Below are 15,188 nucleotides of genomic sequence, written 5' to 3'. Positions count from 1 at the left end.
CTCCTTACTTTGTTTTCTATATTTTAAAGCATTTTTTCAGAGAACTGTTTTCAGTAGCAAGTTGCCATCATGCATTTAAAACATTTGATTCAGGGACAAATGTTGAGGAGATCACTTGCACAAAGGGAATTAAGCTTGCTGGGTGTAGCATGGGCTAGGGATAAAAAAAACAGTTTAGAAAAGGATGTGATATCACTCATCTCTTTAGGAAAGCATTTCTCTGTCTTAGAGTTAGAGCTCCAGGCAGAGGAAATGGGAAGGCGGGGAAAACATGGACAGGTTCCAAAGGAGATGATGGGTCATAGAGAATGAATGAGTCAACTAGCATCAGAGGGTGTGAGCGAGGGTTTGGGGGAGGGGGAATAATGGAATCTATGGGTTCTTTGAACCCCCTCACTCCCACACCCATATACACACACCAAGTTCTTGGGGGACATGAGCAGTCCTTAAGTGTCCTGAAAGAGTGACTGTGTTCCCTAAGCAACCAAATCACTCCAGAAACTGATTTGGCTGGGAGAGTGTGACACATCAAAGTTAGGGAGGTGACGAAAGTATAAGAATCACTCTAATAGGAGAGCATCGTCAATTGTCAGCATTTAGTTCTATTTAGAAAGGATTGGAAGGAAGGGAGAAGTCACTTCTTGAAGAGAAGACGCAAAAAGTTGATGGCATTTAGTCGTGCCAAAAGAAGTGCTTTGAAACAGTTCTAAAATGCAAGCCTAATTAGTTACTTTAAAGTATCCCACAGGTCTCTCCAGATCATGTGTGTGAGGTATTTGAATTTTTCAGTGGTCACAGATGAGAAGACTGTCACTTCTGCGAACGTCTATTTCTGCACCCCAGGCATCTAGCATACTCACCTATGTTCGCCCAAGTCTTTTATCATAGCTTGTTCATCATATTTATTAGGTTGGCAAAAATGTAATTGCAGTTTTTGCCATTACTTTCAATGGCAAAAAAAAAAAGGCAAAAACCACAATTATGTTTGCACCAACTTAATATATTCCCAGCATTAAAATTTCTTGTAATGTATTTCATGCTTGCTATTCCAGGAATCTTAAAATTCTCTACTAGGATTTCTTACTTAGTGTTTAAGTCCTTAAATTAAACAAATAGAAATACTATGTAAGACATGTGCCATATACAGCAAATAAATCTCATGAACCCACATCAAACAGGTAAATAAAAATATGAACTGAGTTTTGTTCATATTAATATTCAGTGTCCTTTTGACACTGCTTCTTCTGAAGCAAACCAAAAGTGCTTGGAAATAAAACTAAAAGGTTGATTTTACCATCATACATCTATAGCCTCCAGAGTGACCTATTAAATTATAAATGGGATTATGTTACTCCTACAATTAGTACCTTCTGTATGAGGAAACAACAACTTCATTATACCCAAAAGCTCCCGCATGATTTGGCCTCTGTCTGCTTGTCTAAACTAGGGTGTCATCACACGCCTTGGTTATACCATCAAAAGTATTGTTTGAAAGTAAATCAGGTGGTCACTCAACTCCAACCTCACTTCTTTGCTCCTTCTATTCTTTCACCATACTTAGGCTACACTTGCCATCTCTACGTTTCAGGAGGAGGCTAAATTATTTTATATTTTTGGATCCCTGCCTAAGACATCCCATCTGCCTGAAGCACACTTCTTCCCCTGTTCATCTGGTTAACATTTAGGCACCTTTCAAGCCTGCTGAAACTTAACTTCTGCACACCCCAGTATAGACCTGTGAGCCTCTTTAATTACACTCTCCATTGCACATGTAAGAATTTGTAGTCCTGTATTTTCTTATGTTTTTATTTCTTTAATATTTGTCTTCACAAGTCTCTGAGGCAGAGACAGGACTGACACGCAACTGATTCTCACTATTATGGCCTTTAAAGGTTGTTGTATATCTGTTTTGTTGACAACAGACACCTAGTACACAACACAGTACCTAAAACATAGTAGACACTCAGCACGTTTGTTTAACAAATGAGAGAATGACCATGGATGCTCTCATGGAATCAATTGTCGTGAATTCAATTAATGCAGCCTTTACCAAACTCTTATTCTGTGTAGATCATGAACACAATGGCTTAAAAATCAGCAGCACCAGTATCTGCTGGAGCATGACAGAAAGACAGAATCTTGAGTCCAAACCTAAATGACAATCTGCTGTTTAATGAGACACATGGGAGGTTTCAATTACACATTAAAGTCTAAATACTCACCTTAGCACACACTTATCTAGTAAGCCTGGAAAAATAAGAAGCTGAATGGCCATTCACACTCCTCACTTTTAAGAAACCTACATGGCCTGCCAAATGGGCCAATTACTACTTTTAATGGGAATGAAAAATGTTGGGAATTTGCCAATTTATTCTAAACTTTTAAAATGCTATCCCTAGTTTTTCTTGAAGATCATAGAGCAAAATAGATAAGGCTGCTAGTCATAAAGTTTCTGATTTCCTGTCTTAGCATATTGTCCTAATCTAAGAAAGAATAGTCATAATTGGGGGTCTAAGCTAAAATAAAAATAAAGGTACACAGTATTAAAATTCTACAATGATTTTAAAATAAGTACAATTGTCTAACAATAAATTTGCCATTAAAGTTAAAATCACAGTAATATATAATAAACTCATTCGCATTGGTGACTCACACATCATTTATGCATGTTTTTAAAGTCCCAGTGGACTTTCACGCACAAAGAAATTTTGCCTTTCACTTACTTCAACAGAGTCAATTGATTTCCTGTTAATCAAGATTTTAAAATGTCAACTGAGGTTTACTTTGAAATAAGTGAGGACAATTTAGGAGGACTCAGGTCAATATCCAGAATGCCAGTGGTGATCAAATGAACTTTGATTCATAGTGAATAATGTTACGAATTCCATAGCTGATCAGGCATTTTCATTGACTTGGGAGCCTTATTTATCAGCATGAATGCCATAAGGAGGTCAGAGAGAGCAAATGCAGTGATACATGCAGAGACATGTTTAAGTCTGGCATTTAGCATACCTGGTGGCTGCCAAATAAAAATCTTACATATTAGGCAACCTTTATATATATATATATATATATATATATATAGTTATCACTGTACTCATTAAAATGTTTGACATAGTATTGAGAAAATAAGTAAGGCACTAATTTGTCTTTTAAGGCCCCAAACCCAGAACTTACAAACAAAGTACCATATATGAATTAATAAATTGAATTTTCTATTGCAGTATTTATTGATGAAGTAGGCTGATTTAGCTTACTTCCATTAAATTTTGTAAAGATTCGTGAACAGAGAAGAACTATTTTTTAATGAATATGAATTCAGGGCATCCCCAGGTATAGATAAAAGTGTTCAAGGCTTCACAAAGGAAACAGAGACAGAGGCAGTACAGTGTGGAAGTTAAACCATAAGCTTTAGAGTCAACAGAACTAGACACAAGTCCTGGTTCCCATCATTAGCAGTGAGCCTCATCTATAGATTGGCAATAAAAATTATCTCAGAAAGGCTTTAAAGGATTAAAGCAAATAACCAGATAATGCATGAGAATTACTGTTAACAATAAAAAGAGAATAAAGAATGAATATTTTAAAAATCATTTAGCTTTCTGGAAACTTCAACAGCATTCACAGTGGAATAAAATAGCCATCGGAACGCTGCTCTTACCAGAGGTTAGTTTTGCATAGTTCATTCATTCGGTTAATGTGTCTTGATTAAGAACCCGTACTACATTGTGCTAATTACTAGAGAATAAAAAAACACACAAACATCCTGTGAAATGGAACTTAGAACTTAATAGAGATAATACTTTTAAAATAATAATTATATCATCAAAACTATATGATTTTAATAAGTATTATGGAAGAAAATCAAAATGCTGTCTATAAATATTTCAAGGAGAACTTCTTCAAATATCAAGGTCAAGAAAGGTTTCTGAGAAAAAGTGGTATTTCAGCTAAGATATGAAGAAGGAGTGGGAGTTTGCCAAGGAAAGGGGTAGGGGAGTAGTCCAGGTACAGATAATACAGATGTAGCTTTTAGGATGGCAAAGGGTTGACAGTATTGGAGGAGCTGATCAGGCAAAGATCAAAGTGATGGGAGTTCAGGTGAAGCTAGACCATGCAAACCCGTGGGTGTCTTTTATCCCAGATGCAATGGGCTGCCATCAAAGGGTTTTAAAAAGATGAATGATGTAATTGCATCACCCTGACTTCTGTATGGAGAATGAATTCGAATGTGACAATAGTGGAAGCAGAGAGACCAGTTTATTAGGGAATGTCTTAAAATGTTAAAACATAAATTTACCTTTAGCACATTCATTCTGGAGGCAACATTGCTGGAGCATGGGCAAACTGGGGTTCTACAGGTTCACGTTTCAGATCCTTTTCATATGATTTAATACATGTGTTTGCTAAGAGATTATGTAATAATTGTGTATGTTGGCTCATTCACTTTCAACAAATATTTATAAGGCATTCTCACGTGCCAGTTACTGTACTAGACACTGGGAATAAGGAAGAGAACAAAACACATGAATACATTATTCTAATTGATCGTACATTTTAGTGGGGAAAAATTAAACTAGTAAATAAATATATAAGATAAACCTATGAAGAAAAATCCAAATCCAAATGAGGGCCCTAGTGAGTAAGAGAAGATGATACAATTTGGGAATGGTTAGGGAAGATCTCTCAGATAAGGTGATTTTTGAGCAGAAATGAAGAGTAAGCCATTTAAAATCTAGGCAGTGGGAACATAAGTGCAAAGGCTCTGAAATGAGCCTTGTATTTAATTTTTTCAAGAGTCAGCGAGGCCAGGCACAGTGGCCAGTGGCTCATCCCTGTAGTCCCAGCACTTTGCAAGGCTGAGGCAGGCGGATCACTTGAGGCCAGGAGTTTGATACCAGCCCAGCCAACATGGTGAAACCCCATCTCTACTTAAAAAAAAAAAAAAAATTAGCCATGTGTGGTGGCAGGTACCTGTAATCCCAGCTACTCGGTAGGCTGAGGCAGGAGAATCACTTGAACCTGGGAGGCAGAGGTTGCAGTGAGCCAAGATGGCACCAAGGCAAGGCAAGGCAAGGCAAGGCAAGGCAGGGCAAGGCAGGGCAAGGCAGGGCAAGGCAAGGCAAGGCAAGGCAAGGCAGGGCAAGGCAGGGCAAGGCAAGGCAAGGCAAGGCAGGTCAAGGCAAGGCAAGGCAGGTCAAAGCAAGGCAAGGCAGGTCAAGGCAAGGCAAGGCAAAGGAAAGAAAAGGAGTCAGCCTGGTCAAAATTAATGTGATTCCATCATCACCATCATCATCACCATTCTTATTCTCATCATCATCACTACCCTCACCACCATTATAATCACCATTATCACCATTGCCACTGTCATCATCACCATAGTCATCAGTATCACTACCACCATCACCATCATCATCACCATGTAACTTTGGAAAAGTTTCTTAGAGGCTCCATAAGGCATATTATTGATACAGCTCCATCAGAGACAGTCATGTTAGTCAGAAAGAGTCTAAATATTTTAGTAGTTCCAGTTTTTATAGCACTTTCATCTTAAAAATTATGAAAAATGTCATTTAAGGCAAATATTTTTAGTCTTTAGCCTGAGTTAAGAATCAACTGAGACACTTAATAAAAACATCCATTCCTGTGACAAGATTTTGACTCATTTGATCTAGAGTGGAGCCCAGGAATTCACATGTGCAAGAAACACCCCAGGTGATTACTGATGCAAGTGGCCCAAGGACTATACTTTGAAAAAAATGCCATTTTAATGCCTTTAGTGAGTGAGGTCTTACAACTCTTATAGTTTGTAAGCACTTCCCCCATTGCACATCTGTGCTTCAATTCCATAATGGTGCTGTAAAATATTATTCTCCAAATGCAAAATTCACAGACAAGTCAAAAAGGACCAACCTTAATGAGAAACTATCTATAATACCTGGAAATTGATGGACAAGTGAAACCAATGATGTCAAATTCATTGCCACTTGAAGTCTGAGACCAATACTTAATAATTTTTCTTCCATGTAACTTACTTTACTAACTGGCCTCAATGACAAAAAATCTTTTTCAACTAATGTTACTTAAGGGGAAATTCTTCAAACAGATATATTTTATAAGAAGCCTTATATCTGGAATTCTTAGGGAATAGTGTTATGGTTAATTAAGATATGCTAAACATGAATTACATAAGTATTGTTTATTTTCAAGTAGTACTAGAGTATACAATATGCTTAGTTTTAAAATAATGTTTTGCAATGCTTCAGTATTCCAGGGTTGTAATAATGATTAATAACTACCCTTGTACTGGAAATTTTCAGAAGTGCCAATTAGTAGAGAATTCTGAATAATAAAATGCTGAGTAATATAAAACAAAATAACTATTTATCCCTTCAAATGTTAATATTTGCAATGCAGAAATGTGCTTTCAATAAAACTTATCTTGCCTTTATATCAAGTATCAGCTGATATTTTCATCTTAACTATTTAGTAGTAACCAAATTCTCCTCTATGCAATCTTCATGCCAAGATGATTATATCCTGTTAGTGAGTTTACAATCTTTAAAAGCAGTTAGTGGATCATCATCTTGTTTTGCCTTAGAAAAGGAAACTGACACCTAATGTAGATCAGCTGTTTGAATATTCAGGGTTTAGTTTTTTCCTCCCCAGCAATTAGCTCTTTTTATTACCTCATTTCAAAAGGGTAATAAGGTATTGGGTGATGTCTATTGTTTTTGAAACACAATAAACCTAAGATGAACATTTGTAGAAACATGGTAAGAAATATTAACAAAAAAAGCCCACTAATTTTAGATTAGACTCTGAGATTCTTGCCTCAGTAATTTGGTTAAATGATTGCCACACTGAAATTTTTTCAAGGTGCTTTTAAAAATAATTATGGCTATTATAATAAATAATTCTACTGAAGTTGAACTTAAAAGCAGACTAACATTTTTTATCCATATAAATCACTTTTATATTTGGACTAAAAACTCAAAATAACCTTCCCTCTCATTCCCACCCTACATCCCAGCATAATGTTAATTCTTCAATGGGGTGTTTACATTGACTATTACCTTGGCTTCATGCGAAGCACAGAGTTTTGCTGTTGTTTGTTATTGTTTTTTGTTTTTTTTTTTTTTTTTGAGACGGAGTCTCGCTTTGTGGCCCAGGCTGGAGTGCAATGGTACGATCTCGGCTCACTGCAACCTCCACCTCCCGGGTTCAAGCAATTCTCCTGCCTCAGCCTCCTGAGTAGCTGGGACCACAGGTGCCTGCCACCACGCCCAGCTAATTTTTCGTATTTTTAGTAGAGATGGGGTTTCACCGTGTCAGCCAGGATGATCTTGATCTCTTGACTTCATGATCTGCCCGCCTCGCCCTCCCAAAGTGCTGGGATTACAGGCATGAGCCACCGCGCCAAGCCGAAGTGCAGAGTTTTTTTTAACAGTATCACTGCCATTTTCCCATTCGGCCTGGCTGTGAAAATAAAAGATGTTTGGATCACAAAATCCAATGAAATTAAACTGTAAAATCCAAAGTAGAATTTAGTAGCTATAAGCACATTTATTTTTGGCCAAGTCTTACCTGGTCTACCCTGCAGACAAGGTGCCTGTGAATCAGGATGCAACTTGGAGTAAGGTTAGGGGGATGTATGATTTTTCACTTCTTCCCCTCCTTCCCTAGGACAGTCTTGAAATCATAAAGGCCAATGAGGCTGCTTTTCAAATCAGGTTATAGTTTCCATCAGTCTCTCTGATGATGCCCTGTTTTTCTTGCAAAGGGAGTGCAGCACTCGTTAGATCTTTGCTTAAAAGGATGATAAATGAGCTCTGACACTGGAGCACGTTGTGGGAGTACAAGAGCTTGGATTAACAGCAGGCTTTTTGAGGGTTTCCTTAGCCACTTTTTCAATTTTACCTAACCTAAGGGAAAGCCACCCTTATTCTTCTTAGAGTTGCTGATGGGTGATTATTATACATGCACACATACAGTTTTATTTTAATTGCTTTTTAAACTCATGCATGCTGAGACATCTCCCTGGCACATATCTTCATCTTAAATATTGCAGGTGTAAATCACCAGTAGAAATAAAAGACTCAGGTACAATCTCTCCTATGAAGAGATTGAATATAGATTACATGACATCCTGAGGCATTTGCATCATCTGCTAAGACTTCAGGTTTTTGTTCTAAGCATTGCTAATGCATTCCTTTGGTTGTGGTGCTTAAGTCTCTTGTGTGAGGAAGCTCAAAGTAATAGGAAGCTGTTGATTTAAAATGATAGAAAGATTGCAACAATCTAAGACAGGCTGATTCTTGATTGTCTGTTAGTCAAGAGAAAGGCATATGTCTCCTGTTTTTTTTTTTGGTTCATGCCAGTCCAGGAGCTCTGCTACGGCATGTCAGTACAGATGTGAGGCATGGATTCGTCCTGGAAGTTGAGATCTCAGTATTTCATACATTTCCTGTAGTGTAAGCTCCTTAAAAACAGGAGCTAGGAGCTTTAAAGTCCACTGTATTTAGAGGGCCTGCGTCAGACAGCCCAGAGGAGATGCTTAATAGTATTCATCGGAGCAAACAGAATTATTCGATCTTTCATTCAAGAGAAACTGACTGAACATTTATCAGATTAAAACATTTATGGAACACTTGTACAGTATATAAAGATAATATGATATAGAAATTAACCTTAAACAACTTGTAGTTTATTAGAGAAGTTATGTATGAGTTAAACTCTAGTAGATACAAGAACGTAATAGGCAACATTAGAGAGGTATCAGTTTTGCATTTTTTTAGATTAATTAAAAAATATTTCCAGGCTGGGTGCCATGGTTTATGCCCGTAATCCCAGCACTTTGGGAGGCCGAAGGGGAAGGATCGTTGAGCCCAGGAATTCAAGACCAGCCTGAGCAACACAGTGAGACACTGTCTCTAAAAAAAAAAAAAAAAATTAGCCAGACATGGTGGCTTGTGCCTATAGTCCCAGCTACTCAGGATGCTGAGGTGGGAGGATAGCTTGAGCCCAGGAGTTCAAGGCTGCAGTAAGCTATGATGGTTCCACTGCCCTCTAGCCTGGGGACAGAGCAAGACCCTGCTTCTGAAAAAATAATAAAATTAAATAATAATAAAGAATAAAATATTTCCATACTGATTATTCAATATGATGTGATGCCTTGGAAAACACTATGAAATATACTGAATATAAAATAAATGTGAAGAATTATTATAGTTATAAATATCTCTGTTGCTTCTCAAGGGACCCCATATTGGAGCCACTGCTTTAAGAGCCTTCTTCTTCCTAGATTTCTACAGATCTGTAAAGAGAGGAGGCAGACATCTATAAGGTCATCTTGGCCTTGCTGCATATTGGAATCATCTGTGGAGTTTTTAAAACTCTTCATGTTCAGGCCACATTCCACACCATTAAGTCTGAATCCTTGGGGGTGGAACCCAAGTATTTCTACTTTATAAAGTTCACTAAGTGATTCCATTGTTTGAGGCCACTGTTCCCAGCCATGTCTGCATATAAACATCATGAGGAGATTTTAAACACCAAATCTCATTCTAAGAAATTCTGATTAATTTGTCTAGAGTAGGGCCTGGGCATAGACATTTTTTAAGTCTAAATTTGATAGTAATGTGTAGCCGGGACTGATACCCACAGGGTTAAGGGATTATATAAAGTTATATTTGTGAGGAATATATGGCAAAATCAGTCACGTGTTTTTGCCACTGGCTATTGTTTGCTGGCCATCTTGGGATAACTAATATCCAATTTGAGAGACTACTTGTTTAACTAACTTTTCTGAGTTGCCGGGGGTTATGAAGATGATCAGAAAGGATTTCTATCCCTGAACCAATGACAGATTGCACCTGGGCAGGCAAGAAGACTTTCCTGGAATTCTTGGCCTCGTGAGCTGCTGTAGTCACACTTAGTCATTCCTCTTCAGTGAAAAAAGCCCAGGCATGAATAGCGTGCAAGTATGTGTGATCATTTCAAACAATGTCCCCACCTATACAAACCACCATATGGGAAGAAAATTTATTTACCTCATGTACATGTCACATAGGTAAAACAAGACATTGTGTTATTTCAATTCTGGCTTGCTCATGAATACTTCTGTTGTATAATCCATGATACCATCTGGAAATTTCTTAGAGTATGTGTTTCTCAGAACTATTGATATAAATGGATCTTTCTGATGCATTTTATTGCTGTTTATAAAAGTAAAATATTGCAAAACTGAATTTTATTCAAAAATTCAGATACCTCCCATTTAAAGACAAAATTACCAACTGGATTTTCAAGTTGGTAAAAATCTAAATAATAATATGCTGGTTTTACAACTTTGAAAGAGTTTGTGTGATTTTTGTCCAGTTAAGACAAAAATGTAGACAAATGGAGGCATGAACACAAGGTTAAAGAGAAGGTGAAATAATTATAGGAAGACTAATGATTCTAAGTGATGTCAGCAGGAATTCTGGTGCTTTTGAAAAAAAACAGTCATCTCCTCTCCAGACATTGAATTCTTCTTATTTAGATCACTTAATATAATAATTTCCTTATGCATTCAGATAATTTTGTGTTTTCATTCAAATAAATCACAGGAATGGTAGCCTAGGGCAGTTTATTTTTTTAGATTTATTTTTTCAGCTCAGCTCCACCTAGACAAAGTCTGACAAGTTATTGTGGACTCATAACTGCATAGATTTTCACTGGGAAGTGCATTGGTGTTTGATTGCTCTTTTTTGGACACAGTTCAAAGAGAAATGGAATCCAAAACAACTTTGCATTTACTGGTGCTTTTGCTTAACCTTCTTGCATATACTCTAATTGTAGCCAAAAATATCAACTCCATTAGTATCCTACCACTGACAAATTCCAAATCAAACTGAGGAAGATGAAAGATACAGATTAAATGGGTCAGCTCCATGTGGTTAGTCTTGGCTTCTCCTAAGAACAGTCCTTTTGGCAGAAGGGAAGGTAATATACACATAGAGTGAATATCCGTTAGATATGTTATTCCATGTAATTCTTATCACAATCCTTGAAGTTAGGGGAGAAAATTATACTAATTTTAAGGAGTCACAAACAAGAATTATTTATAAGTAATTCTATACTTTTAACATTTTTCATTGAGTTGATTTTTATAGATGTAAATATGTAATTTGAAAAAAATCTACATCTATATTTTAGTCTATTCGTCTGCACACTAATAATCCCACATCAATTAGATTACTTAGAAGCTGAATGCATTGAAGACATTGAAAAAAATTAAAAATCTCTGGGCATCGGATAAAAGAAAATCCATGGAATACTAGACTCTTAAATCCAAATCTAAAATATAATGTCAAACATACCTGGATAAAGAGATAAAAGAAACACATGGCATATATTCTATTATTTGAAACTTTGAAAAGCTAACTTGCCTATAGAGATCTCTTTTTTTCTTTCCTCTTCTTTTTAAATAAATCTCCCACCCCCACCCCCACCAGCACTGAGCACAAATCAGGGCCTTCCTGGTCGACAGAACTAACAATCCAAACCCTTTCATCCTCATTGGGAGCATGTCTGGGAGTCAGAGAGGGGAATAAAGGATGAAAAATCAAGCCCCTTAGTGTGGCTACGGAGCAGTGGCTCCTGGAAAGGGTGTGGGGTGAGGGAGGACGCTGTTATTATTGGTGTCTTGCTGCTCTTTTTTGGACATAGTTGAGAATCTCTAATATGACCTTAAAGTCCTGCTTAATTTGGCTCTGCTCATTTCACCAGTCTAATCTCCCACTATCTGCTCCTTACTCCTTTTTTTCTTGTTTTTGTTGTTGTTGTTGTTGTTGTTTTGTTTTTTTTGAGTCAGAGTTTTGCTCTTGTTGGCCAGGCTGGAGTGCAATGGCATGATCTCGGTTCACCACAACCTCCGCCTCCCGGGTTCAAGCGATTCTCCTGCCTCAGCCTCCCAAGTAGCTGGGATTACAGGCATGTGCCACCATGCCCAGCTAATTTTGTATTTTTAGTAGAGATGGGGTTTCTACGTTTTGGTCAGCAGGCTGGTCTCCAACTCCCAACCTCAGATGATCAGCCCGCCTCGGCCTCCCAAAGAGCTGGGATTACAGGCGTGAGCCACCACGCCCGGCCTATCTGGTCCTTAAAATCCAGACTTATCTTACAGGATTTCCTCCAGGACTTCAAATGTGACTTGTGTTCTTCCATCTCAGGGTGTTTGCTCAGATTCCCTCTTTTACCTGGAGAGAAAACACCTCTAGTCACTCCTTCCGCTTAACTAAAATCTAAAATGTACTCGAGTTTTTTTGTTTGTTTGTTTTTTAGAAGGAGTTTTGCTCGTGTCGCCCAGGTTGGGGTGCAGTGGCACGATCTCAGCTCATTGCAACCTCTGCCTCCCAGGTTCAAGCAATTCTCCTGTCTCAGCCTCGCAAGTAGCTGGTATTGCAGGCACCCACCACCACGCGCAGCTAATTTTTTTATATTTTTGGTAAAGATAGGATTTCACCATTTTGGTCAGGCTGGTCTCGAACTCCTGATCTCGTGATCCACCCACCTCTACTTCCCAAAGTGCTGGGATTACAGGTGTGAGCCACCGTGCCCGGCCTGTACTCAGGGCTTTAAGCATTCTTTTTGGGGAATATTTCCCTGATTCCTCTAGAGGTGTTTAGGTCCCTCTGATATATATATATACTACCATATCAGTCTGTGGTTTCTCTTTCGTAACATTTAATGGCTTTATGATTTGTTATCTAATAGCTGTCTTCCCTAGTGATGATGATGATTATAATTAACACCTATTTAATATCAGTAACAATTTCCTGAGGGAGGTACTATTATTATTTCCATTTACAGATGGGTAACTGAAAATTAGTATTATTTAATAACTGACACAGGGAGACAGTAAGTGATAAAGCCAGGAGTTAAATCTGGGCACTTGAAGTACAAAGTCATACCCTTGATCATTTTATGCTAGTTGAGCTGCACCTGGCTGTCTTGTTTTCCAATCTATTTCTTGAATGTCACACAATGCCAGACGCATCCAGAAACTTATATTTGTTGAATGTGGAAATAAATGATCTGAGAAAGAAAAAACAAAATAAAACAGCTCTTGAAACTGACAGCTAGACCATAGTATTCCCCACTGAATAAAAACTATACTCACAGAATACCAAGAAGGGCCAAACAGGGCCACTTCACCACCACAGTAGAACTTAAAAACAAAACCACTGCCCAATAATTGCAAGCACAGAGACAGGGATGCAACACAATCGCTAAAATAACCAAATACCCTCCTCTCCCAGCAAACATGAGTGGCTGTTGTTTCTTTACTGATGACACCTGAGCTCCTAATCCTTCCTAATGCCTCTTAAATAAAAATTTTTTAAATACCTAATTATTGAACTTCCCATGCCTTCTGACAGTACTCAATCCAGAACAAAGCCTTACTTCCTTAATCTCCTGCAAAATCATCCAGCACAGAACCGAACTCTATGATGCGCCCTTTCCTACTCCATCTTACCAAAAATGCCCTGTGGTTATTTCTTGTTACCACAGCAGCACTGTTGATACACATGGATTTTTTTTGACTACATGTGTGTTTCTGGACTTTCAATGGTGAACATTGACAGAGCAAATGTGTGCTTATTTAACAAAGTTGTGGTTAAGTAAATTTAACTTCAGAAAATTAAGTGAATTAATCTTCTGCCCATTAAAGTGTTAATATTCTTATTAGTAGTTTATGCAGATCAATTTTACAACATGCTATACACAGTAAGTCCTCAATGTGGTTGATGAGTTATTGAAAACTGTGACTTTAGGCAAAATGATTTATAATGAAAACAATATTACCATTGGCTAATTGATAGAAACAAGAGTTAAGTTCCTATGGCATATTTCTGGTCATAAAAACATCACCATACTTCTAAGTAAGAAACAAAGCACTTCTAATATTAAATATTGAAATAAATGTGAGCTATACACATGTTTAAAATAAAGATTAATAAAAGCAAGTAAGATAATTATTTACTAAATTTGTGGTGAATCAGTGAGTGACAGAGGCCGTAGTGGTGGAGAGTTAAATTAAGCAATACTTATTTGCAAAGAGAAAATTGTCCGGAGCATCTCCTACCACCACATGGTTCAAAAACAATCACCAATGCGGCCGGCCCTCTGAGTGCTTCTACTTCCTTACTGCAATGTTTATTGCTGAGTATTTGTATGATCGCCGCCTACTTTACAAATTTTTATTTGACAATACGTTGTGTTCATTCATTTCCCAACCCACTTATTCCAGTTCAGGGTAGCAGGTGGCTGGAGCCTCTCTCAGCAGCTCAGGGGCAAGGCAGGATCCCGCCTTGGTCATTCCATGCAGGGCACACATACACACACACACACATATACACACACTCAGACTGGGACAATGTAGGCACCCAATTCACCTACCATGCTCTAGTTTGGGAGCTAGAAGGAACCTGGAGTATCCAGAGAATACCCACAGAGTCCTGGGGAGAACATGCACACTCCACACAGACAGTGGCCTCTGCCAGGAATTATTTTTTTCATCAATTTTATAACAAAATGATGATGCTATTAGAGGACCTGCGGTACTGAATTACCCTACTCCTGACCCGTTGAATGATATATTAATGAATTTAGTTTACCATGTGAACATTTGCCCCTTTTAACCAACATATCTTGAGCATTGACTTAAAAAGCAAGCAAACAAACACAAAGCTACTCCCTACTTATATTGTTACTCTTTGGGAAAGCAGCATTATTACCAGGAAGAGAAAAGATGAAATATAGATAGACACAAATGATATGGCTAGCTTTATAAACTTCATTACATGAGTTACAGAATTTTCTTATATTTGAGAAACCTGGTAAAAAGCCGAAGGCTGTATATTGATGTCTTCCATATCTCTGGGCAGCATCCCTTTCTTTATTTATTGCTTCCCCCTGGCCTTTAAAGACTTCCTTCTGTCCCCTCAATTCTCACTGTTCACACTCTTGCTTCTTAGCCAGGATTATCATCTTCAATAACTTTCCATTTTTCCTTCATTCTCTTCACATTAAAATCCCTCTCCTGGTGGGGCACCTTTTTCCATTAATATGATTTATGAATGTGTGCTGATGTAGTTAAAGGTGCTAATAGATTAATGGGTTATACCTCCTCTATTACATTG

At 37.8% G+C, this 15,188-nt stretch overlaps 2 annotated features.

The window, feature by feature from the left end:
* Positions 4,580–5,105: an enhancer, noted in NCBI's record as "NANOG-H3K27ac-H3K4me1 hESC enhancer chr4:75279392-75279917 (GRCh37/hg19 assembly coordinates)". NCBI's record gives its function as "activates a minimal SCP1, AML or CMV promoter by ChIP-STARR-seq in naive and primed H9 embryonic stem cells {active_cell/tissue: H9 hESC(naive and primed)}" and the evidence as "EXISTENCE:reporter gene assay evidence [ECO:0000049][PMID:30033119]".
* Positions 5,106–5,632: an enhancer, noted in NCBI's record as "NANOG-H3K27ac-H3K4me1 hESC enhancer chr4:75278865-75279391 (GRCh37/hg19 assembly coordinates)". NCBI's record gives its function as "activates a minimal SCP1, AML or CMV promoter by ChIP-STARR-seq in naive and primed H9 embryonic stem cells {active_cell/tissue: H9 hESC(naive and primed)}" and the evidence as "EXISTENCE:reporter gene assay evidence [ECO:0000049][PMID:30033119]".

The sequence above is a fragment of the Homo sapiens genome, chromosome 4 (assembly GCF_000001405.40).
Source record: "Homo sapiens chromosome 4, GRCh38.p14 Primary Assembly".
NCBI lineage: Eukaryota > Metazoa > Chordata > Mammalia > Primates > Hominidae > Homo > Homo sapiens.
Note: the sequence above shows the minus strand (reverse complement) of the source record. Positions and strands in the feature narration are given on the sequence as shown.